This window comes from Homo sapiens, chromosome 13 (assembly GCF_000001405.40).
Source record: "Homo sapiens chromosome 13, GRCh38.p14 Primary Assembly".
NCBI classification, from domain to species: Eukaryota; Metazoa; Chordata; class Mammalia; order Primates; family Hominidae; genus Homo; species Homo sapiens.
Genome location: NC_000013.11, coordinates 58,210,724 through 58,237,168, shown reverse-complemented (window position 1 = coordinate 58,237,168; position 26,445 = coordinate 58,210,724). Strand labels below are relative to the sequence as shown.

General features: G+C 33.5%; 1 long non-coding RNA gene across 1 annotated transcript; it reads left to right on the top strand.

The window, feature by feature from the left end:
- Positions 1-4,051: 4,051 nt before the first annotated feature.
- LINC00374 (long intergenic non-protein coding RNA 374) lies at positions 4,052-25,472 on the top strand. Its single transcript, NR_132367.1, has 7 exons — positions 4,052-4,334; positions 7,959-8,031; positions 9,553-9,612; positions 15,241-15,303; positions 15,901-16,032; positions 21,486-21,543; positions 25,342-25,472. It is a non-coding gene; the product is annotated as a long intergenic non-protein coding RNA 374 (long non-coding RNA).
- The last annotated feature ends 973 nt before the right edge of the window (positions 25,473-26,445 follow it).

Here is a 26,445-nt window from a genome sequence, read left to right as displayed (position 1 = left end):
TTTTAGACAGAGTCTTGCTCTGTCGCCCAGGCTGGGGTGTAGGGGCATGATCTCATCTCACTGCAACCTGTGCCTCCTGGGTTCAAGCAATTCTCCTGCCTCAGCCTCCTGAGTAGCAGGGATTACAAGCATGCACCACTACACCTAGCTAATTTTTGTATTTTCAGTACAGACAGGGTTTCACCATGTTGGCCAGGCTGGTCTAGAACTCCTGACCTCATGATCTGCCTGTCTCGGCCTCCCAAAGTGCTGGGATTACAGGTGTAAGCCACCATGCCTGGCCAGGAGGCATTGTTTTCATAGGAGACAACAGTTCTATGTATGTTATTGCCCCGAAGACCTTCCAGTGGGACAAGATGTGGGGGTAGAAGATAGTGATATTGATGATCCCAATTTTTTGTAGGCCTTGGCTAATTTGTGTGTTTTAGTTTTAGTTTTTGACAAAAAGGATTTAAAACAAAATTTTAAAAAGTTAAAGGGAAGAACAACTTACAGGTGAAGGGTGTAAAATAGAATACTCTTGTACAGCCATACAGTGTGTTTGTGTTTTAAGCTAAGTGCTATTACAAAAGAGTCAGTGTAAAAAAATTTAAAGTTTACAAAATAAAAAATTTACAGTTTGTTTGATTTATTATTGAAAAAATAAGAAATCATTAAAAAAATTTAATGTAGCTCAGGTCTACAGTGTTTATAAAGTCTACAGTAGTGTATAGTCATGTCATAGGCCTTCATATTTAGCCACCACTCCACCACTCACTCATTGACTCTACCAAGGCAACGTTGAGCCCTGCAGCTTCCATTCATAGTAAATACCCTACTACAGTGTTCCATTTTTTATACAATACTTTATCTTTTCCATATTTAGATACACATATACCTACCATTGTGTGACAGTTGCCTACAATATTCAGTACGCTAATATGTGGTACAGGTTTGTAGCCTAGGAGCAATAGGCTATACCATGTAGCCTGGGTGTGTAGTAGGCTGTGTCATCTAGGTTTATGTAAGTGCACCCCATGATGTTCCCACGAGGACAGTTTCCTCAAGGGTCCCTTTCTCTGAACGTAACCCTGTTGTTAAGCGACTAATGACTGCACTGCCAAATACTGCTCCGTAGAGTAAACACTAGTAGTTATTACGACTAGTAGGACAGTGAAGGTTTCCCAGTCTCCCTAGTATCTCCTCAGATCTCTGAGTAAACTAATTAGGAAAACAGGGAATTCTAAGGTTATTTTTTGGGCCTGTCTTATCTGGGTTTCCTTGAAGGTCAGTTGGACTGTTATGTTTTCATTTGTTTGTTTTGTTTTATTTCAATGTCATGCATTATTTGGTCCTTATATTCTATTTAAATTATTCTGAATGAAGAACCATGTTGATTCATCTAAATCGTTCGCTGAAGTTGTTATTTTATAAATTTATTTCCTCATCAAGATTCTTAGTTGAAAGTAAGGTTTGACTGTACACTGCATATGCGCACGTGGGTGCTCACTGGACAGAATCTACATTACATGAGAGAGAAACAAGCAGCATGCACACTGAGCTCCTCCCACCTCAAGGCAGAAAATGTTGACATTACTCTGTGACCCTGTCAGCCACACTAGAAACCCTAGTTTTACTAAAGCATATAATTGTCATCATTTTATAGAAAATATTCCTCAAGTTTTAGCATAAACAAAATAAAGCAGTTGCAATTCAAAGAGGGAAGAGGTGAACAGTGCAGAAATTCTATAAGTAGAGTTAATTATATTACGTCCAGATAGTTTCTTACCTGATTTGCGCTGCCTTCCAACTCCTGTTTTTGTTATCTGCTGAATAAAATGATTGTCTCTACTGTCAGCTGCCACGTGTTTCTGCTAAAAGGACAGTTCTGCTATTTATCTCCAAGATTTCTATAGTTATGTCAAAACATCTAATCTACTGCCTTCCTCCAATTCCCTAGTTACTAATTTCTTTCACTTTATAAGTCTTAACTACTATTTAAATGAGACTTGATATGGGGTGGAATTAACTAAATGTGTGCAGACCTTAATTGATACATTGATGAAAATAATTCCATTTCTGTAGAATACAAAAAAAAGTTGAGTTACATTATTTATCAAGTCCAAACTTACATTTTTTATGGTAACTATTGGATACCCACTGAAATTATTGAAGGCATAATATAAAAACTCTTTAGTCCCATGAACTTTTTTCTTTTTTTCTGAGATGGGGTCTTGCTCTGTCACTCAAGTTGGAGTGCAGTGGCATGATCATAAGCTCACTGCAGCCTTGAACTTTTGGGCTCAATTGATCCTCCCCCTTCAGCCTCCAGAGTAGCTGTGACTCCAGGCACCTGATGCCATATCTGGATAATTGTTCTTACAAAATTGTTTTAGGCTGAGCACGGTGGTTCACAGCTGTAATCCCAGCACTTTTGAAGGCTGAGGCAGGTGGATCACTTGAGGTCAGGAGTTATAGAGCAACCTGGCTAACGTGGCAAAACCCCTCTCTAATAAAGGTACACAAATTAGCTGGATGTCGTGGCATGCACCTGTAGTTCCAGCTATTTGGGAGGCTGAGACATGAGAATCACTCGAACCCAGGAGGTGGAAGTTGCAGTGAGTCAAGATCACGCCACTGCACTCCACCCTGGCGATAGAGCTAGACTCTCTCCTCTCCCCCCACCCCCAAAAAATTGTTCTGGAGATGGGGGTCTGTGCTATGTTGCTCAAGCTGGTCTTGAACTTCTGGGCTTTAAGTGATCCTCCTGCCTTAGCCTCTGGAGTAGTTGGTATTACAGGTGCAACCACCATGTCCGGCTCTTGAACTTATATTTATGAAGTACATGGGCTGAACATTTTCACACATTATCATTTCTCCATCTCTAATATACTTTATTTTTAAAAATAGTTTTAGATGAAAAAAAATTTGGACAATATAGTACAAAGATTTCCCATATACTCTACACGCAGTTTTCCCTATCATTAACATCTCACTTTAGTATGATACCTTGGCATAATTCAGAAACTATTATTGATACATAAATATTTAACATCCATAAATTTCCCATATTTCCTCCATTTTTTTGTTGTTGTTGAGACAGAGTTTCGCTCTGTCACCCAGGCTGGAGTGCAGTGATGCAATCTCAGCTCACTGCAATCTTCACCTCCCAGATTCAAGCGATTCTCCTGTCTCAGCCTCCTGAGTAGTTGGGATTACAGGTGCCCACCACCATGCCAGCTAATTTTTGTATTTTTAGTAGAGACAGAGTTTCACCATGTTGGCTAGGCTGGTCTCAGACTCCTGACCTCAGGTGATCTGCCCGCCTTGGCCTCCCAAAGTGCTGGGATTACAGGTGTGAGGCACTGTGCCTGGCCTGCTTAGTTTGTACATAATGTCTTTTTTCTATTCCAGAAGACTATCCGAAATACCACATTATATTCAGTTGTCTTGTCTCCTTAGGCTCCTCCTTGCTCTGGCAGTTTCATAGACTTTTCTTGTCTTTGACGACCTTTACAGTTTTAAGGAATGTTACCTACTTTGTAGTCACCCTGCTATTGAAATTTATTTCATGTTTTTCTCATGATAAGACTGAGATCACACTTTATAGGAAAGACCACAGAGGTAAAGTGCCATTTTTTCATCACACTTTATCCCAGGTACATTTTATCAACATGATTTCTCACAGTTGATGTTGACCTTGATTACCTGACTGAGATTGTGTTGTCAAGTTTATCCATTGTAAAGTCATTCTTATTTTTTTTCTGCCTTCTTTTCATATTGTATTTTTGCAGGTATCTATGTGCAGCCTACACCTTAGAAGTGTGTAGTTATGTTCTTCATTCTTGATGGTAGAATATCTACACTAATTATTTTAAATTCTTCTTCATGGGGAATTTGTCTCTTTTCTCCCATTAATTTATTCCAAATTTAATTTATATCATGGATGTGTGTGTGTGTGTGTTTAAATGTTGGATTATAATCCAATACTACTTGATTTTGTTGCTCAAAATGTTCAGCATTGGCCATTGAGAGCTGATTTTGGCTCCTGTGATCTTTAGACATATCTCCATTAATGTATTTTGTTTCTTTTTCTTTTTTTCCCAGCACGTCCTTACTCTGGCACTACGAAATGCTCCAGACTCGTGTGTATTTCTTGCTCCACCATAGAATCAGCCATTTCTACAAATGTCACTGGTTTCTTTTATGGAGAATGACATTGGAAACCAAGATCTGACTACTAAGTGTGTTCTTTGCTACTGGGTTGTCATTTCTCTTAAGGCTTCCAAGCTGACAGAGCAAACGAGTATATGACACATCTGATTTTTTATTTGACTGTGGAACTCTGTATCTATGTGAGAGGATTTAATTGTTTCTGATTAAAATTTCTCATAACTAGTTCTACAATGATATTTTAATTACAACTGATACAAAGCCTATAACTTAAAAGATTCTCTTTTGGTATGAGAGAGTGATAAGTTGGTTTGATAAAATTTTTCTAAACTCATGTCTGAGTTGTTATGTATTTATACTCATTAAAATTTTAGAACTTACTATCAAGACCTTTATGATATACTTTTTGTCCTATAAATTCTGGCATGGTCTTTGCCCCAAATAGCAAAATTTGACATGACTCTAAGAGATCTTCTTCAAAGTCATAAAAAGCAATGAATTTAATAGGAAAGCAGACTCATGATCTTTAGAAGTGAAATTGAAATGCAACTTAAATATCAAGATTTCTGTTGTTTCTATTTGTCAGTTGTCACTTTATTAATTACTATCTGCTAAAAAACTGTCAGAATCAGGATTTTGTAAGTCATAAACTCAAAATCATGCTTCTTATGGTATCTATAGAAAATACAACTAATAGACTGAATTTTACTTCCTAGAAGTATATTATGTAAACCTGTTCAACAATAATAAAATTGATATACAAAGTCATTGCCTTTCTTACAGTAAGTTACAACATCGAACTAATTAGATTATTGTTTAGTTTCCGTGTCTCAACTTGTTGCATAATTTAAATGACAAATGTAATTATTTGGTTTTATATTATTTAGAATCTTGTATCAGAAGTTGTGGAATTCCAGAGTTTCTGAAGTATATGGGTTTTAATATAAAAATTAATTTTTGTTTAAAATCAAATTATTACAATATAGATTAATATAGTACAGAAGTTAAAATGGTAAAACAATTCTTAAGCTGTACTTGTGTTTGCTAGGTTAAGTTAAAAGACAAGATTGTCTAAAATATCAGCTTATGAGGTTATGAGGCTACTAAAATCATTTTAAGCCAATATTCTTAAAAATGTCTTCCTCATTCTTACAGTATGTATGTAGTACACAGCCGTTTAACACTTGTATGATAGACACATAATGATCGTGATCATCCGTTTCAGATAATTCTTTGTAAGTTGTCAAATCTTGCTGAAAAGGCATACACTGGAGAAGTGACTTTTTTGCTTGCTTTGCACTTCGCTGACTTAGACAGGGATCTAATAGAAGTTGTAATTGGCTTTTCTGATCGACAATGAAGAGCACATTTCTTACTGCTTTGATTCTCTTTGTGGATTGATAAATGCTGTGAGATATGGTACTGTGCTGAAGTGAAGTGTGCTAATGTGAAGGGAATGTGAGCTAATGACTTACTAAGCACTACAGGGTGGCAATCGCCTCGTTTTTTGGTCCCAGTTCTTTAATGCTTCATTTTGTCCTCTTTTGGAAAGGTTCTTAATCTTTCTGGCTCAATCAACAAAATAAGTACTATATTTACCTGACATATGATACATGACTTGGGTGTAATGGGCCATTTTTGATGGGAAGAGGCAGTACCATTTGTTAAATGATACCCTTGGCTCCTGGAAAAGTTAATAAAGTTTCCCCAAAGCACTTAACCTCCTTCAAATGAATCATTTATACACTAGGAGAAACTGTCTCAATGATTATCGACACTAGGCCTAACACTTTATAAAATAGATAGAGGATACCAAATCATTTGGTTAACTATCAAAAATCTCTAGATGAAAATCTTGCTACAGATTGATCTTAAATTATTTTAAAATAATTGAATCTGAATGTGGTACTGAAATATTCTTGTTTAACAGTATTTCTTTAAAAGGAACATCTGACTGAACATTTTTTATCATAAGACATTAAGTCTACAAAGAAGATTTAATTTGTAAATGTTTATAGGCTATAATTACTAATTAGTTTTTACCTCCCCCTTCTTTACTGTAAATAGATTCTTTGATCCTCATTTTCTCAGTGGGCATCTAAAATGCCAAATAATCTTTTTTTCCCGAAGGCCTACTTTTATCAATAATAAATTAGGAATGAAGCTTACAAATACAGAGCAACTTACTTATTCCTAGTACATAATTATCCATACAGATGTGCACAATCAGTATGCACATGTGTAAGAAAATACAAATGTGTATGGTTGTCCTTCTTTCTTTCATTTACCTGTATCTACCTATTTACTTATCTGTTTTTACTGTATATGCTTTATTGCAGATATTGTACATCCAAATTAATAGTAAATACTAGTGCCTTCTTTTAAAGTAAAACACGTTTCCTTTTTTCTTTTTTCTTTTTTTTTTTTTTGAGAAGGAGTTTCACTCTTGTTGCCCAGGCTAGAGTGCAATGGCGCGATCTTGGCTCACTGCAACCTCCAACTCCCGTGTTCAAGTCATTCTCCAGACTCAGCTTCCTGAGTAGCTGGGATTACAGGCGCCTGCCACCGTGCCCAGCTAATTTTTGTATTTTTTAGTCGAGACAAGGTTTCACTATGTTGGCCAAGCTGGTCTCGAACTCCTGACCTCAGGTAATCCGCCCGCCTCGGCCTCCCAAAGTGCTGGGATTACAGGCATGAGCCACCACACCTGGCCAAAACATGTTAATTTTTAAATATCAAGAGTCTAGATATCATTTGCAATAAGTCAATAAATATTTGCTTGGTTATATAAAGATAGAAGGTGTCACACCAGATATCAAAGTCCTGCCATTCAACTAAATCAAACACTCAGGAGAATGTGACAGCTTGGACTCAGGAATTTAAATTCTGTAATGTAAATTGAGAACTATTTATTATTATTCTCATAATTGTTTACATTTCTGAATTTCAATTTCTTCCTTTCACTATAAAGGAAAACACAGTCCAAAAGGAAAAAAATAAATTTAATGCTTTTTCAGTTCATAATTCACAAACATTCACATACATGATCTCATTTTACTTCATAACACTCTATGAAGTATAGAAAGCAGACACTATTACCACCATATAGCAGATGAAAAAACCATATTTTAAAAAATTATAATTAATATGCTAAAGACACCTAGGTATCAATAGTAATAATGTATTAGAACAAAGCATGAACGATATTTTGGGCCCCAATTTTTATCTTGCTGTTAATATTGTTGCTATTATTGCAAATAACATGGATCCTATGACATAAAATATTGTGGCTTAAATGTAAAGGGGCAGAGTATTTTATTTCCAAGCATTTACAAAACATATTAGCTATAATAATTTTTTACCAAAGTATTGTTATACTGTATGCTTAGCTTTCCTTCAATTGAAAAAAAAGTCATTTAAGAAAGAAAAATATGACCATACTTCAGATTAATATAATTATACTTCGGTAATAATATTTCATTATTATATTTAAAGATTCAAATCAGAGATTGTAACCCTATAGTATGTTCTCTGTACCAAATCAGGGAGCAAAAGGTTTGTGAGCTACCAAAGAATGCTTATATTTTTAAGACTTTATCAAAATATGCTTCCTCCACTTTTTTTTTCATCAGTTAATGCTAGGTTGGTTTCATAACAACATCTGGAGAAAGTGCTATTTTCTTTCTAATATGGCAACAGAGAAATTGTGTGTCTCCTCTAAGTATCAAAATATTTGTATAATCTTTTAATAATATCTATTTTAAAATTATTCTGTATTTTAATATTTCTGTTGTATTTTCCCTAAGATACACTTGCAATTCTTATCAAGTAAAAATACATCAAAGATATCAACAACCACAGACGTATACACCCGACAAGGTAATGGAAATTTTTTTTTTGTCTTTTACAATTTTTTTAATAGATTTAGGGGTACCAGTGCAGTTGTGTTATATGGGTATATCATATAGTGGTGAAGCCTGGGCTTTCACTGCAGTCATCACCTGAATAGTGAACATGGTGCCTTATAAGTAGTATTTCATCTCTTATACCCCTCTCAGCCTCCCACATTTCAGAGTCTCCAGTGTCCATTATTTCATTTTGTATGTCCATGTGTACCTATTATTTAGCTGCTACTCAGAAGTGAGGCCAAGTGATTTTTGACTGTTTCTGAATCATTTCACTTAGGATATGGCCTCTAGTTCCATCCATGTTGCTTGCAATAGACATAATTTTATTCTATTTTGTGGTTGAGTAGTATTCCACAATATATGTATGTGTGTATATACAGATATATAGATAGATATAGATATATATAGATAGATATAGATATATGTAGATAGATACACACACACACACACACACACACACAACATTGTGTTGTATATATATTCTTATATACCCCACACCCAGTTTTCCCTATTATTCATATCTAACAATAGTGTGTCACATTTGTCACTATTGATTTATTTTGGTAAGTTATTATTACCTAAAATACATAGTTTATTCAAATTATCTTAGTTTTTACCTAATATTCTTTCTCTGTTCCAGGATTCTATCTAGGGTACCATAACATGGAATTTAATATCCTTGACAAACATTATTTGTATATATATGCTTGAATTCCTTTCTGGGCTCTCTATTCTGTTCCATTGGTCTACAATTTCTGTTCTTATGCCAATATCATACATTTTAAGTTAATATAGCTTTATAGTATAACTTGAAATCAGGGAGTGTGATGCCTCCAGGTTTTTTTCTTCTTTTCCTTAAGATTGCTTTTGCCATTTGGGGTCTTTTGTGGGTCCATGCAAACTTCAGAAGAGTTTTTCTATTTCTAGAGAAAAGAAATTTTGATGGGGACTGTATTGATTCTGTAGGTCACTTGGGTGTTATGGACATTTTAACAATATTAAGTCTTTGATTCCATGAATATGGAACATCTCTTCACTTATTTGTGTCTTCTTCAAATTATTTCATCAATGTCTTACAGTTTTTAGTGTACAGATCTTTTATCTCCTTGGTTAAATTCATTAAATATTTTTCATGCAATTATAAATATAATTGATTTTCTTAATCTCTCTCTCTTTTTTTTTTTTGTTTTGAGACGAAGTCTTGCTCTGTCACCTAGGCTGGAGTGCAGTGGCACGATCTCATCTCACTGCAACTTCCACCTCCTGGGTTCAAGCGATTCTCCTGCCTCAGCCTCCCGAGTAGCTGGGACTACAGGCGTGAGCCACTACGCCCCGCCCTTAATTTCTTTTTTAGGTAGTTTGTTGTTAGTGCACAACTGATTTTTGTATGTTAATTTTCTATCTTCCATTTAGTCATATGTCTACTACTACAATAATTTTTACTCCTTCCACAGCACACTAACTCTGAATTTCTCTTCACAATCATGTATAGAACCGCTGTATATTCTAGTACATCATTTATTGGACCAACAAATACATGGCATCTGGCAAGGTAATTTTGATGAACTATTTAAGTAGCTGTATGATTTCATCTTGACTCTGGTTAGAATGTTTATCATTTGTTACTGTAAGACTGATAAATGGATAATGTCTGTCACTGTCAAAGTACTGGTATTATCTTCATTCATAGGTAAAACATTGTATATATAATAAGTATGCCTTGTGTGTTGGCATGAGGTAAAACATCATCTGAATATATATTTATTATATCTACAAATTGGTAGGTTGTTTTAGAATTGCAACAGAAATTTAATGAGTTTGAATAACAAATTAACATTTGCTGATTAAAATTAAAGGTTAATTTTTCAATTAGCTAAGTTGCTCTCAGCCAATTCTTCAGATTATTTGGTTCAGATGACTGTCTAGATTCCAATAATTAAGACCTTTTTATTTTTTCAAATAAATTGCTTGCTTTTTTTCAAGAACTAATCTCTCTTGCTGAAAAAGTATTTCGAATAGCAGACTTCCTCCCAATTAATTCTGTTATTTGCTTCTTAACTTGTCATCTTGGATTCTTTATTTGTAATTGTTTTGTTCATGTGAATTTCAATGACTCTACTGAATATGTAACACATCATATCTAACTTCAGTGGACATCAGATGGGCTATATATAATGTTGCTTGATTAAAGTCATACTCTTTTGCTCTAAAACTCTGATTCTTTTATTGACTCATCATATTTTAATAAAATTGAATTAAAACGCAGAAATGTGTAAAGACTAATAATCTATTACCAATCCTCACATGCTATTGTATTTTAGAAATTAGATTCTATATAATCAGCCTGATTCTTCCCATCACCTATCTTAATGAATCTCACCCAAAGCTATGTATTTCAGAAAAGATGAGAATTTTCATCCAGACAAAACATGCTCTAAATAAGAACTGAGAACACTGCCTGTTCGGAAGAAAGAAGACTAGTGCTTAAAAATCTTTCTCTTATATGTATGACTTTGAGCCACTTAAAATTTCCAAGTCTAAATTTCTTCCTTTGAAAATGGGAATGAAGCTTATCTTTGAGTGCTCTTAATATTAATAAATTATATATGTAAAGTACTTTAGATGATTCTTAAGATAGATGTTCTGAAATAAATATTATTTGTTGTATAACCCGATAATATATTAGAATAAATTATTATTCTAATAATATAATGGCACTATTACTATAAAATAGACTATTTTTTAAGGTCAAGTTGCATGAATTCAATAAACACTGAGTGCATCTTATATACCAGCTATTAAGCTCTTGGGATTGAATAAGAGTAAACAAAAATCTTTGTTCTTATATCTCGGCTCTCATAAAGTTTATAACCTGGCAGGAATGAGGAATACAGACAATATATAAATGTATGGTAACTAAATGCATTTATAATAACAATATATAAAAAATATATAGTTTGTCAGACAATAAGTTTTATTTTTAAAAAATCAGGAAAGGGGAATATGGAGTGGTTGGTGAGAACTGTGGATTAAATTAAAAAAGTGATGTAAGATAAAATGTCACTGATAAAGAGATTACAGTTTTCTAATGCTGGAATATATTCATTTGTTCATTCCTATTTTCTCACTTTTTATTTTAATTTTGTTTAAACTTTAGAGTAGTTGAAAGAATCGTACAATGAATATTCTCACAATCTTCACCTAAAATTAATAATTTTTAACATTTTGTCACATTTGCTTATCATTTTCTCTGAATATATATATATATATATATGCATAAGTATGCCTTGTGTGTTGGCAGGACTATATATATATATATATATTCAAAGCATATATATATATATTCAAAGCATATATATATATATATGCTTTTGTTTCCTAGATGAAGTATTACAGAATAAGTAACAGAGAGTAATACGCTTTAATTCTAAATCTTCAAGTCCCTACCCCCTAAATACAAGAATATACTCCTACATATCAATAATGATGCTCCTTAAATTTTAAATAACATTTTATTATATCCAGCCAATATTCAATGTAACCTAGTATCACAACATTATTATTGACAGCTGTGTTTTGTTTGTTGCTTGGTGTAGGATATCATGAGATGGTCATTATCACTTGCTACATTAAAACAAAGCAATACAGTTGCTTGAAACACCAGTGGTTTATTATTTCTTACGACTCTGTTGGTCCGGAGTTTGGGCAAGCCTCAGCTGGTTGGTCCATTTGCTACACATGATGTAGTCTGGGGTCACTCACATAGCTACAGTCACTCAGAGACGGACCGAGGCTGGAATATCCATGTGGTTACTAGTTATTCAGAAGTCTAGCCCGAACTTTCTTATATGATGGCAGATGGGATCCAAGAGCAAAGACAGAGATTCCTAGACTCTTAAAGTCTTGGCTGAGAATGGCTATGCTTCACTTCTGCTTCAGTTTATGATTCAAAGCAATTCAGAAATCCAACCTAGGTTCAAAGAAAAGGGAATTTGTTCTGCCTCTTGTTGGAAGGAGGTACAAAGAATTTGTCGTCATTTAAATTCTATTATATCAAGGATCCCACATTGCATTAAGATTAAAGATATATCTCTTTGTCCCATTTTGATCTAGAGCAGCAATACTCCTTTTAAAATTGTAGCTCCTTTTAAAATTGTATTTTTTCATGACAATAACATTTTGAGGTCTATCTGTTAATAGGAGTCTTATATAATACCCCAGTAATCCGGATTTGTCTATTTCATCATTATTTATTAAACATTTTGGTTAAGATAGTATATAAGTAATATTGTAAACTTTTCAATACATTACATCAGAAGGCAATTTTTACTGGGCTCATTTTTCCCCTTTCATTTCTTTTGTTTAAGATAAGATCCACCATAATTAACCCTTTAAAGCTACCACTCCACATGGTAACTAGTAAGTGTTTGTGGGTATTTAAATCATGTGTGTTCCCGGTTTTCTATCACCCTTTGACTTAATGTATTTTAACACACATTGGTTATCCTTCCCTGAATTGATCATTACATAAAAGTTACAAAATATTTTCTAATTCTATAATTTATTGTATATCGTGATGTTCTTCTATAAAGAGTAGCCTTTTTTCCTTCTTTTCAGTATCATTATGAATTCTTTTTATACAAATATTATAACTTATCACGATTTCTCTTTATTTATTTTTAAATAGCATTATTTCATACCACGCAATTCATACCATACAACCTCATACCATACGATTAAGCCATTTTAAGTTTGAAGATTTTTGTAAACTTATAGAGTTGGATAATCATCATCAAAATCCACTTTTAAAATATTTCCATCATACCAAAACATTATTTTGTGGCCACTTAGAGTCAATCTCACTACAACTTCCAGTCACAAGCAACCACCTATCTGCCTTTTTTCTCCATAGGTTTTTTTCTGTTTCATGTAAATGATATTATACAATATTTACACTCTTATTTCTGGCTTCTTTCAGTTAGCATAATGTTTTCAAGGTTTATCCATGCCTTTGAATGTATTCCTAGTTTGTTCCACTTAAGTGGTGAATATTTCATTGCATGAATATACTATATTGTGCTTATTTATACACCAGTTTATGTTTAGGCTGCTTCAGTTTTTAACATTTGTGAATATATTGCCTTGAACATTCAGTGGAAGTCTTTTTGTGGACATTCATTTTTATTTATCTTGGGTAAATACCTTGAATGCAACAGGTGGGTTAATATGGTAATTATATGTTTCACTTTCTAAGAAACTATTCTATTTTACACTCCCATCAGCAATGCATGATGGTTTTATTACTATTTCTGATGATAAATTGTCCAATGTTTGGACAATTGAAATTATAAGAAAATTAGGACAAAGACTTAAAGGTCTAAGGAAGTGAGCCCTACGTATATTTGGGGAAAAGCGTTTCCTGCAGAGGGAAAACAAAGTGCAAATGCCAATGCAGAACACAGCAGCGCGGCTAGAAACAGTGAGCCGGGGAGAAATTACAAAGAGATGAGTTCAGAGAGATAACAGGACCATATTTTTCAGGACCTTGTAGTCCACTGTAAGTACTTTTGCTTTGACACTGAGTGTGGTAGGGGAATAACAGAGGGTTTAGAGAAAAGGATTCACATGATCAAACTTATGTTTTAACAATACCACTTTAGGTCCTAATTTTAAATTATATGAGTGTGACGAGGAGGGAAGCAAGGATATTCGAGAACCAGTATTGCATAGTTAGTGTGACAGTGGAGGGTGGATTGTGGCAAAAAAAAAAAAAAAAAAAAAAAAAAAAAAGCAAAGAATGAGATCTAAGAGTGATTAATGCATTCATTGAAAAACTGGGACCTTTTTTTTGTGTGTGTGATGAATGAAACTATTGTGATGAGCCTGATGGTCTAACCTGCTGCAAGTTCTGGGAGATGAACTATGGAATCCAAATCCTTACACGTTCAAATCTAGTGGAGGTTACTACCTGCTCCAGTAAATGTTAATGAGACTATCCTATGTCTGGTTGGCTGCAATTCCAGGACACTGGCAGCAAATCCAGGAATCTCCTAATTGGTTGAAACAAATTTGATTGATGGTATATGTGAAGCTGGGGAAAGGAGGACACCTGGGATGCTTCATCTTCCCTCCTATAAGATGACTGTCAGGTCCTTGCACAGTTTCAGGCTCTTATAGTCCTCAAAAGAAAATAAAACAGTCCAGCCAGACTCCTCTTTCAGAATAGTCACTATAAGAAAGAGGAGTCCATTACTCTCTTACTATATCCTAATAAAGTTTTGTGGTGACTGTTACATTGTCATTAACTGTGTTTTGCAGAGCAAACAAGATTCTCTGATAGGTCAGAAAAAGAGAAGAGTAAGAGATGACCCTAAATGTTTTGTTCTGAACAACTGGAAGAGGGGAAAAAATGAAGAAAGGAAGAATGAGTTGATAGAAAAATATAGTATTAGTTTTAGGTTAGCATTAGATTGGAATAGATTACTATTAGCATTTTTCTTAGATGTATGAAGTTTGAGAAAAAAAATTGAATTTATTCTATATGAGAAATGCAATCATTCAATCTAAGGCAGTTTGTTAATGTTTTTACATGGATTTTTCAGGATTTCAAAGTCAGTCACTAACTTTGAACTCTTGTTTTGGGGTTCCCATAAAATCCTCTCTACCCCACCCATGATCTCTAGCATGGTATCTCACATATCCTAGCTTTTTCCGGAGTTCAAATATTTTTTTTTGCCATTATCTCCATTAGAACTATATAGATTTCTCTCCTGGATCCTTCCTCCTGCTAACTAATCAATAAAATAATCCTCTCACTCATTCCTTTGCTGAAAAACATTTATTGTAAGTGTACTTAAGAATGTCTTGTGTTTCATAAAATGATAAATGAAGGACAAAGGGTCAGTCTGTTCATAGCATGGGGGATGGGGTGACGTGGGGAAGAGGAGCCTTGCGATAAATAAGTAAACAAAAATGTTAAATATTTGAAAAATTATAAAGCATATTCATTATAGAGATAATTCAGTGTTTTATTATGAAGAATATTAAGAAATACACCAGTAAGAAGGTAATATTTAGGCTCATACTTGAAAAATAAAAATAAAATCAAAAAAGAGCCTTCTGAGCAAAGGATTTGAACATTGTTAAGGTTTAATAATGGAAAAACCTTGTTCACTTTCAGGAATTGAAAAGTGGCTTGTCTATCTGGAATACAGGGAGGAAGGAGTTGAAATGAGATGGGAAGGTAAGCAGGGTCCAGATTTCTACAGAGCTTTGCAGGCTGTAATTTATAAAGGGGTTTACATGCTATTTTACATTTAAAGGAAAGCTATTAAAATGTTTTTTAAAGAGAAAAGGAGGAGTAGAATCTGGATGTGGATTAAACTTTCCTCATAAATACTTTTAAATGATGTCTTTATTGAAATGCAAAGAATGTTATTAATAAAAAGTAAGAAATTATAGAGATAATTTGGAGCACTCAGTTGTCTAAGTAAAAGATGAAGTGCCTGGGACTGTTAAGAAGGTATGGAAATAGAGAGAAGTACATGGAACTAAGATAAATTTTGGAAATAGAAAATTTTGACATAAAAGAATTCATTGAAAGATTAGCCACTGGGGAAGGGGGAGGTTGGTGATAGAGTAGAATCGAGTATGGTTTTTGAATTCTGGTTCATTTGGAAATGCTCAAGAGGAATGGATTGACGTGTGTGTGTGCACATGCTTGTGCATGTGTGTGCGTTTTATCTGTGGGACATGCAAGGGACAATGTCTATTGAAAAGTAAATAAACAAATATAGATGTCAAATATATGGCCTATAGTTTTTTTTTACTTTTATTTTAGAGTCATCTGTATGCAGAGGAGGTATAAAGTCATGCAAATGGATAAGATTTCAAGAAGAAAGAAGAAAAAGGTAGGCTCTGAGTTTGGAGAGTTGAATGAGCCTACAGAGATAATGAAGTTGTTGCTGGAGAGGTAAGATGAAAATGAAGAGTGAGTGCTTCAGGGAAAACAAGGAGCTTGTTTCAAAAAAGAAATATCAACTGTGTTAATGTTTCTAGGAAGTCAAACAGTATTTGAAACCGAGAAATCAGAAATATGAAATCATGCTTGGCAACATGGAATTCATTACTGAACTTTAATCTTGTAGAATACTAATGGAGAGTAGTTTAACTTTATCTACTACTGGACACAGGACATAATATAAAGTGTACAGTGTTAATTCTGAAGTATCATTTTTAGTTATACTTCTAAATTTTACCTGCTCATATTAACTTTAGAAAAATGAACTGGACAATTTTGGTATTGAAATTTTCTTTTTCTTGAAACACCTGTCTGCTTGTCAGTATGTGTTGCAAGAGTATCTCAATCTATTCTCTGCCAGGTAGTAAAAGGGACCTTATTGAATATACTAGTTCAGGGATAAAGTATCCAGAAGATCTTTGCCATATTTCTCATGATTATGTACCCACTGTATAAGTTGCTTATTGCTGCTATAATAATATACCACAGAGTTAGTGCCTTAAAATAACAAACATTTGTAATTTTCTAGTTCCGGAAATCAGAATTCTAAAATGTGTTGCAAGTGTTGCATTCCTTCTGAAGGCTCTAAGGGAGAATCTGTTTCTTTGTATTTTCCAGCTTCTGGGGGCTGTCTACGTCCCTTGTCTGGTGGCTACTTTCCTCTATTTTCAAAGCCAGCAACAGTGGGTTGCATGGCTATCTCTCTTATCCTGCTTCTATTGTCACACTTTTTTTCTCTGCCTACAGTCTAGAAATATTTTCCACTTTCAAAGACCCATGTGATTACATTGGTTCTATGTGGATAATCCACATGTAGCCTCCCTGTTTCAAGATCATTAACTTAAGCATATCTGTAACGTCCTGTTACTATATAAAATAATTTATTTACAGGTTATTAGAGATCAGGCTGTGGATGTTTAGTGGGGTAGGCAGTACTCCTCCTCCTCCAATCAACCTTAGTATGTATTGCTCAGCTGATTCCAACCTTGGATGATAAAGAGGGGGTATATATTGGCCAACTAAAACATTAACACAATGTAATGACTAAAATGGAAATTTCAGATAAAATGATGGGTGAAGAGGCAAAAAACTATGTAATATCATGTTAGTCACTATCAAATGGACACTACACGAAGTTTACACACATACACCTCTAAAACTACTTTGGCTTAATATGTTTTTTCTTTCCTTGCATCAGTATTTCTATAAAAATGAAATATATAATAAATTGTGAGAAAACTAACCTTATATCTGAACAACGTCTTGGATTTTGTTTGTTTCTTAGCCTTGTTGTTCAACTCCCTGATTTCTTTTGTAAAGAGAGAATGGCTATGTAGGGATACAGAGAATTAGCATACTGTTAAATATTATGCCATTCTGGAGTGTGCAGCTATATACATTCAGTTTTATAAAAATCCAGTAGTGTAAAATAGGCCTAGTGGCCCAATCACTCTGTCACTCCAAATAATGACACCATTTTTTGAGCTGGTATTCATGAACATGAAATTAGCCATTTTGAATTGAACCATCCAGTGGCATGCAGTACATTCAAACTGTTGTACAGTCTTCACCTCTGTCCAGTTCCAAAATATTTTCATCACCTCAAAGGGAAATCTTATATCCATTAAACAGTTGCTCCCCATTGCCCCTTCTGTTAACCAATATGTTGTCTCTATGGATTTACCTATTCTATTTATCTCATACAAATGAAATCATACAATGTATGATTTTTGTGTCTACCTTCTGCCTCAGCACACTATTTTAGAGGATCATCTATATGTAGCCTGAGTGTTGACCATCTTTTCATGTGATTGTTGGTTGTTTGTGTATCTTCTTTGAATAAATATTTATGTAAGTTTTGCTCATTTTAAAATTGTCTTCAAATCATTGAGTTGTAAGAGTTATTTATATACTCTTAATATTAAACCTTTATTAGGTACATGATTTGCAAGTATTTTCTCCTATTCTGTAGGTTGCAGTTTCAACTTTTTCAAAATGCCCTGTGATAGTCAAACATTTTTAATTTTGATAAAGTCTTACTTATCTTCTTTTTAGTTGTGGCTTGTGCTTTGGTGTTATATCTAAGAAGTCATTGCCAAACACGAGGTCATGAAGATTTATTGCCTCCACAACGTCTTCTGTCTTCTAATTTTTTAAAGGTTGTAGCTCTTATATTTAAGTAATTGATCCCTTTTAACTTATTTTAACACATAATGTGATGTAGAGGTCCAACCTTCTTTTTCTTTTTTGGATGTGGATACCAACTTGCCCCAGCACTACTTTTTGATGAGACTATTTCTCTTCATTGAACAGTCTTGTCATGCTTGTCAAAAATAAATTGGCTAAAGATACATGAGCTTATTTCTTGACTCTCAATTTTATTCCCTTAATCTATATGTCTGTTTTTATACTAGTACCACACTGTTTTGATTACTGTAGTTTTATTGAAGTTTTGAAATCAAGGAAATATGAATGCTCTTTCTTTTCTTTTTTAATGCTTTTGTTATTCAGGGTCCCTTGGTATTCCGTGACTTTGAGGCACAGATTTTCTATTTCTGTAAAAAACGCTGTTTGATTTGTAATAGGGATTACATTGAATCTGTAGCTCAATGTTAGCAGTATTCTCACTTTATAAAGTCTTCTAATCTATGAACATTTCTGCTTATTTTTGTCTTTAATTTCTTTCAGCAGAGTTTTCAGTATACACGTCTTTCATCTCTTTGGTTAAATTTATTCCTAGGTATTTTATTCTTTTGCAAGCTATTATAAATGAAATTGTTTTCTTAATTTTATTTTCAGATTGCTGATTGACTGGTGGCAAAACACAATTTTGCGTATTGAAACTATTCTGTAACTGACCTCATTTATTAGCTCTAGTAGTATTTTGTTTTTTTCTTGGGATTTTCTGTGTATAAAATTATGTCATCTCTAGTAGAAACAGCTTAAATTGTTTCTAACTGGGATGCCATTTTTTTTCTTTTTCTTGCCTACTTTCATATATATATATATATATATATATATATGGCAAACTTCTAATACAATGTTGAATATTGATGGTGAAAAAGGTTATTCTTATCTTATTCCTGATCTTAGGGGCAAAGCTTTCCACATTTCACCTTTGTGCATAATGTAAGCTGTGAGTTTTTAATAAATGTCCTGTATCTTGTTAAGAAAATTCCTTCCTATTGCTAGATTATTGTTTTTTTTTCTACCATAAAAAGTGTTGGAATCTATCAAATTTTTTTTCTTTTAAAAATGTTCCTTAGTTCTATTAATGTGTGTATTACTTAGATTGATTTTCTCTATTTGAACAACCCTTGTATTACTGGGATAAGTCCCACTTGTTTCATGGTGTATAATACTTAAAATATGCTATTAAATTCCATTTGCCTGTATTCTGTTAAGGATGTTGGCATGAAATTCACAAGAGCTATTGGTTGGTTGTCTTTTTTTCTTGACATATCTTTGTCTGCGTTTGGTATAGGTCATACTGGCATCATAGAATATGCTAGTACATGTGATTCCTCTTTAATTTTTAAATAGAGATTGAAGAAGATTGTTGTTACATCTTTAGATATTTTGTAGAAATCATGAGTGAAACCATTTGATCTTGGACTTTTCATTGCTGAAAGTTATTATTACTATTACTATTGCTGGTTAAATCTAATTTCTTCTCACAGGTTTTCAGATTTTGTTTTTTCATAATCCAGTTTTTGTAGATTGTGTGTTTCTAAACATTTGTCTATTGCTCTTTGGTCACCAAGTTTGGTGTACATTTGTTCATAATTGTTTTTATAATCCTTTATATTTCTATAAGGATAAATAGGGATGGCCTCACTTTCATTTCTAGTTTTGGTTATTTGTGTATTCTCTCTTTTTACTTTGTATTTAAAGCTAAAGTTTTGCCAGTTTTTTGACCTTTTCCAAGAGCCAATTTTGTGTTTCATTCTCTTTCTATTCCCTATTTTATTTGTTTCAGCTCTAATTATTAATATTCCATCATTCTGCTAGTTTTGGGTTTAGTTTTCTCTTATTTTTCTAGTAACCATGGTGTAAAGTTGAGTTATTGATTTGAGATATATCTTCGTAGTTTTAAGTTTAATATTTAGTGCTTTAAATTTCCCTTCAGAACTGCTTTCACTGCATTCCATGTTTCTATATGTTGTGTTTTTGTTTTTATGCTTTACATGATTTAAATATTTTCAAATTCCTTGAAATTTATTTTATGGCCTGAAATATTCTGGAGACTGTATAATGTGCACTATAGAAGAATGTACTCTCTGCTGTACTGGGAGAGTGTTCTGTATATGGCTTTTGGGTCTCACTAGTTTACAGAATTTCTCACATTCTCTATTATTCATCTTCTATCTACCCATTATTAAAAGCAGTGTATTAAATTCCCCATTTTCTTAGTAGAAATGCTTATTTTTCCCTCCAATTCTGTCAATGTTTGCCCCATATGCTTCGGGAGTTCTGTTGTTTGGTGCATATACTTTTATAATTGTCACATCTTCTTGATGGATTCATTTTTTGTCAATATATACTCTTCTTATTTCTTGAAATATCTTTTGACTTAAAGTCTATTTTGTATCGTATTAATATAACCAACTCGGTTTGCCTTTGATTACTATTTGCAAGGAGTATCTTTTTTTCTTCCATTTTTCACTTTCAAATTATTTGTGATTTTGGATCTAAATTTAAAAGACTGTTATTTATATCAACTCTGCCTCTCTCTGTATTATGATTGGAGAGTTTAATCCACTTATATTTAAAGTAATTACTGATAACAAGGGGCTTCTGCCATTTTGTTATTTGTTTTTTTCTGTCATCCCTTCTTTGTCATTTCCTACATCACTGCCTTCTTTTATGTTTAATAGATTTTACCATACCATTTTGATTTTCTTCTTATTTCCTTTTGCAAACAATTTTTAGATATTTTCTTAGGGATTACTATTAAAATTCTAAATTCATAACAATCTACTTTAAATAGATACCAACTTAGCTTCAATAGCATTCAAAAACTGTGCTCTTATACAAATCTATCCCACAATTTTTTTGTCACAAATAGTATCTTTATATAATTTGTACCCATTAATATAAATTTATAAATACTGTTTTATATATTTGTCTTTCAAAATATGTAGGAAATAGAAAGATGAGTTGCAAACTAGAAGTGTAATAATAGACATTTATATTTAGCTGAAGGACACCTTTTAGTATTTCTTACAGGGCAATTCTGTTAGCAAATGAAGTTTATTAGCTTTCGTTTATTTAGAAAGGCCTTTTTCCTTTATGTTGGAGGATTATTTTGCCAGATATAGAATACTTTTGGTGAATATAGAATTTTGGGGTGAGTTTTTTTCATTCTTTTGGCACTCTAAAAATGTCTTCTCACTCTTTTCCAGCCTCCATAACTTCTGTTGAGAAATCGGCCTTAATCTTATTGATGATGACTTTCACATGGTGAGTTTCTTCTCTCTTGGTTCCTTCAAGGTTCCATCTTTGTCCTTGGCTTTTCACAATCTGTTTATAATGTGTCTCCATGTTAATATCTTTATGTTTATTCTTCATGTACCTCACTGAGCTTCTTGATGTGTAAATTCATGTCTTTTTAAATATCTGAGACATTTTCAGTCATTACTTCTTCAAATATTATTTCTTCCCACTTCTCTCCATTTTTTCCTCTGAGATTCTCATTATGCGTATATTGGCATGCTTGATAGTGCCCCACAGGTCACCTAGTCTGTTTACTTTGTTCATTCCTTTTTCTTTCTTCTGCTCAGACTCATTAATTTAAATTTTTCCTGTCTTCAACTTCTCTGATACTTCTTTCTGACTACTCAATTCTACTACCGAAACCCTGTAGCATGTTTATACATTTTAGTTCTTAAAATATTTATCTGTAGAATTTCTGTTCGATTTCTATTAAAGTTTGGTCTCTTTATTAATATTCTCTATTTGTTAATACATTGTTCTCTGCGTTTTCTTTAGCTCTTTATCTATGGCTTCTTTTAGCTCTTTGAGAATATTTAAGGCAGGTGATTTAAAGTGTTAGTCTAGTAAGTCCAATGTCTATACTTTCTCAGCGATAGTTTCTGTTCATTTCTTTTGCAAAGTGGCAACACTTTCTTCTTTCTTTGTATGCCTTTGATTTTGTTGTTTGTTTTTGTTGGGCATTTTGAATACTATAATGTGGTAGCTTCAGAAGTCAGATTCTTTCCCTTCTTTAGGGTTTGTTGTTGTTTATTTTCATAAGGTATAGATGGTTACTTGTTTAGTAACTTTTATAAAGTCTTTTTTGTCATATAGTCTGTATTTTCTGTCACGTGTGGTCTCTGATGTCTCTGTTTCTTTAGTGTGTGTTCAACTAGTGTTTTTAACAGATTTCTCTCTGAGCAACACAAGAGGAAAAATTAAAATAAGAGAGAGAGAGAAAGAGACAGAGAGAGACAGAGGAGAGGAAAAGAAAGCAAAAACAAAACAACAAATATAATCTCAGTCTTTGCTTATAGTATATGCTGGGGCCTTCAACACTTAGTAAGGCAGTTTATAACTCTGCTGTCACTGAGACTAGAGATTATCTAAAGTTGAAAGCTTAGAGTCTTCTCAGGATTTTTGTGTGCATACATTATGCTCTGGGTGTGCACGTGGCTTTCTCTACACCCCATATAAATAGGCATTTTTGAATGGCCTAATTTTGCAAAGAAATCCTCCCCCCAAATTTTTCCTCCAAGGCTTTTGATGTTCTATTGTATGCTTCAACTGTAATGTCGCCCCAGGTGGCTGCAGTTTGTTCATTGGCCTTACAATGTTTTTGGGAAATGTCCCCTGCTTTGTGGTCCAGTGTGAGTTTCAAGTTAGAAAAACCAAAGACAAATGACTTGTGTCAGTCCTTCAGGTAGCTTCTAAACAGGTTGAAACAGACAAACACAATTCTTTGGGAATAAGGTCTGAAACAGAGCCTCTGGTCACGGGTACCCACATTGGAAATGGTATCTTAGAAGAAATAGCCAAAAATTAAATATTATTGATAGTCTTTAAAATACATTTTTACAAGTAATTTGCTCAAATTTAGATTCTAACAAGGTATACATATGCGTTTTCTATCATAAATTTATTGCAAATAAATTTATGTTTTCTTTTAAAATATCCCACATCATACTTTTTACTTTGATTCGTCAAGGGGTCATTTCACTTTATATAAATAATAAGTTATCCTTAAAATGTGATGAGATTCAGAGAAGTTTTGGCAAACTTCCTTCATAGGTTGTTCTGGGTGCTTCACGTTTAGCGCCACATCCAGAGGAACAAAATCTATTTTTAGTGGTTAGGACTGCAAATAGCTCCACTGCAAGATTTTCTTTCAACCTTTCATGTCATAATTTTATAGTCCTTATTCTTTGCCTGATTCAATCATTTCATTACCGTTGATAACCATGGCTTTCTATTTCTATTATTTATCCTACATTTATCAGTTATAATTCTTCAGTAAAGATTTTCCCCTCGTCAACGTAGACTATTTGGAAAGGCAAAAAAAAAACCTAATGCTTTGTTTTGATAGTTTATAAGTTTGTTTTTGGTCTTTTTTTCCTACTTTTTTGAGTTAATATCATAACTTTTTATATAGTCAGTGTTTGCTCAATAGTATTTATCATTATTTTTGATGCTCAAATTATTCATCATTGGCCTATAGGTGCTCCCTTATGTGGGCTTATGTATCTTTAAAATATATGTAGCTTCTTTTTCTTTCTTCTTCTTCTTCTTTTTTTTTTTTTTTTTTTGAGACGTAGTCTTGCTTTGTCGCCCAGGCTGGGGTGCAATGCCATGATCTTGGCTCACTGCAACCTCCACCTCCTAGGTTCAAGTGATTCTCCTGCCTCCACCTCCCGAGTAGCTGGGATTCCTGGTATCCGCCACCATGCCCGGCTAATTTTTGTATTTTTAATTGAGACGGGGTTTCACCATGTTGGCCAGGCTGTTCTGGAACTCCTGACCTCAGGTGATCTGCCCGCCTTGACCTCCCAAAGTGCTGGGATTACCGGTGTGAGCCACCGCTCCCGGCCAAAATATATATAATTTCTAAACACTAAAAAAGGTGTTTTTTACAGCCCTGAAATGTTTTTCTTTGTTGCTCTTATAAAGCATTAAAACACACATAAAAACAACAGCTTTTCACATTATATGAATACTAGCTTGTTTTTATTTGTAGATAAAATAAAGCAAACAAATACAATAGTTATATAATTTTGTATAATGCCTCTTGTTATTTCCATTTTGTCTGACTATTAATATTAGTCTAGAGAAAGGCATGGCAGTGATTTAATTTCTATAAATTGATTAGAGTTTAAAGGCAGCAAACATTCAGGGAGCCACATCATTCTATCTCTGAGTATTGTTTTCTGAGTCCTCTCTTCAAATCAGCTTGCTGAAGGATAAGGGCTTGCCCCTTTTATTCAGGTAAAGTCAACTCAATATGAAACATAAAAATTATTGTATTTCTCATTTTTTGAGTGATGCTTAAAGCATTAAAAAATAGTTGGGTAGCTATAAAGCATTATATCATAACTTCTCAGCAATTGTATTTCTAAGCAATTTAAAAATAAATTCTGCATTTAAATTATTTATGCATTTTGTGCTGACCTTTTGATAAAACATACAGTGGTAGATGGGGTGATGATGTTCTGATATAGCAAGGCCAGGAATGCTTTCAAGGAGAGAAAAGCAAATTAAAAGCTTGAAAACTATGTTCATTCAACTGTTGTATTCTTTAAAAGTTTTTACTTTTGGGATAGCCTTATATAATACATCTGTTGCTTCTCTGTGTTATCCAGAGGATTTTATTCTAACAAATCCACAATTAATGTATAGCATTTAGTCTCTAAATTACTCCTCAAAGAAGGTAATATTGATCAATTATAACTCTATATCACTAAATTTTCAAATAAATATTAAAGAAACTCACAAGCTCACTCATCCCTGTTACGCATTTGGAAACCTATAATGAAAAAAGGTATGAAATTATTCTGAAAGCTTCTAGAGAAATTACAGGATTACATAGCCACCTGAATACAAAACAGCTTTTCACAAAACATATTCATTTAAATAAAAATAAGGGAGATTGTTTCTTTTTTATTGCTGTTGTTCTTATAAAGTATTATTTCTTTTTATTTGTGAAAAATCAGTACTGTAGTAGGAATGAAGTCATGTGTGCAAGCAGCTGTTTATTTCATGGAGATTGTGAAAAAGTTTCCGTTAATACAGATCCTCAGATATCTGCCTCTAGATCCCAGATGAGCACCAGTTGCAGCAGTCAAACGTCATCTATCTGTATATCAAGATAAATTATGAAAGGATTATATACCAACTGTCTAAATGACAAAGAGAAGAAAGGTAAGTAGCCTGGAAGAAAGGAAGTGACTTAGAGGCCCCTAATGTTTCCCTAAGCAAGAATAAACTTCAGCCAGACTTCCTGGCTCTAGGCCCCTGCCCACCAAGTTCTTAGAACATTTACTTTAGAAAACTTGTAATTATAATCTTTTTCTGGGCCCATTTGATGTGAAAATCTTTTAGAAAGCCTTTACCTAGCTTTAGTAATCAGGACTTTTTTTTCCTCAAATACCTGGCAGCCATTTCTTTGAAATGTAATCATCAAGAAAGATGGAATCTCTACCTCCCAATGTCTTGGGAGAGTAGGAGCTTGACCTCTGTGATCCCCTTGCACTAAATTGCAAAACTACCTCCTGTCATGAACATACAAGACAGTTTACTTTTTATGGGTGTCGGCGGGCAGGGTGGGGCCGTGCAGGGGCGGAGGGTAAGACCAATTAGCAAATACAAACAGCCTGTGATCCTCTTGCCCTATGCCATCTCTACCTCAATTCTTAGAAACTCTTCATCCATTTGTTTTAGTAAAGTTGAATTGCCCTGTTGCAATAGCCTGGAATAAGTCTTCCTTGTCTGTGTAATTTCAGACAGTACAATTTTTGCTGTGGCACAATGTTTGAAGAAAGGTAGGAGAGAGAGAGAAACCGTAGAGAGACTAGAAGATAACATAATTGTTTATAGGAATAATTATGTTATTTATTCTTATAATATTTATAGGAAGTTAGGAAAAACTTCCTAACACTCAAAATTCTAAAACAATAAAATAAATTTTGATACACTTTAACACTATATAATTATTTTGCATAACAAAAAATGATCAAAGTTATAAATCAAATGAACTGATGAAAAAAAATTCTCATACTTTATAGCACAGAGAAAAGGTTAACATCCCTGATATAAAAAGAATTCCTAAAAATCAAGAACAACACATAACAGAACATGGGCAAAAAGGAATAAATAATCACATCACATTTTTAAAAA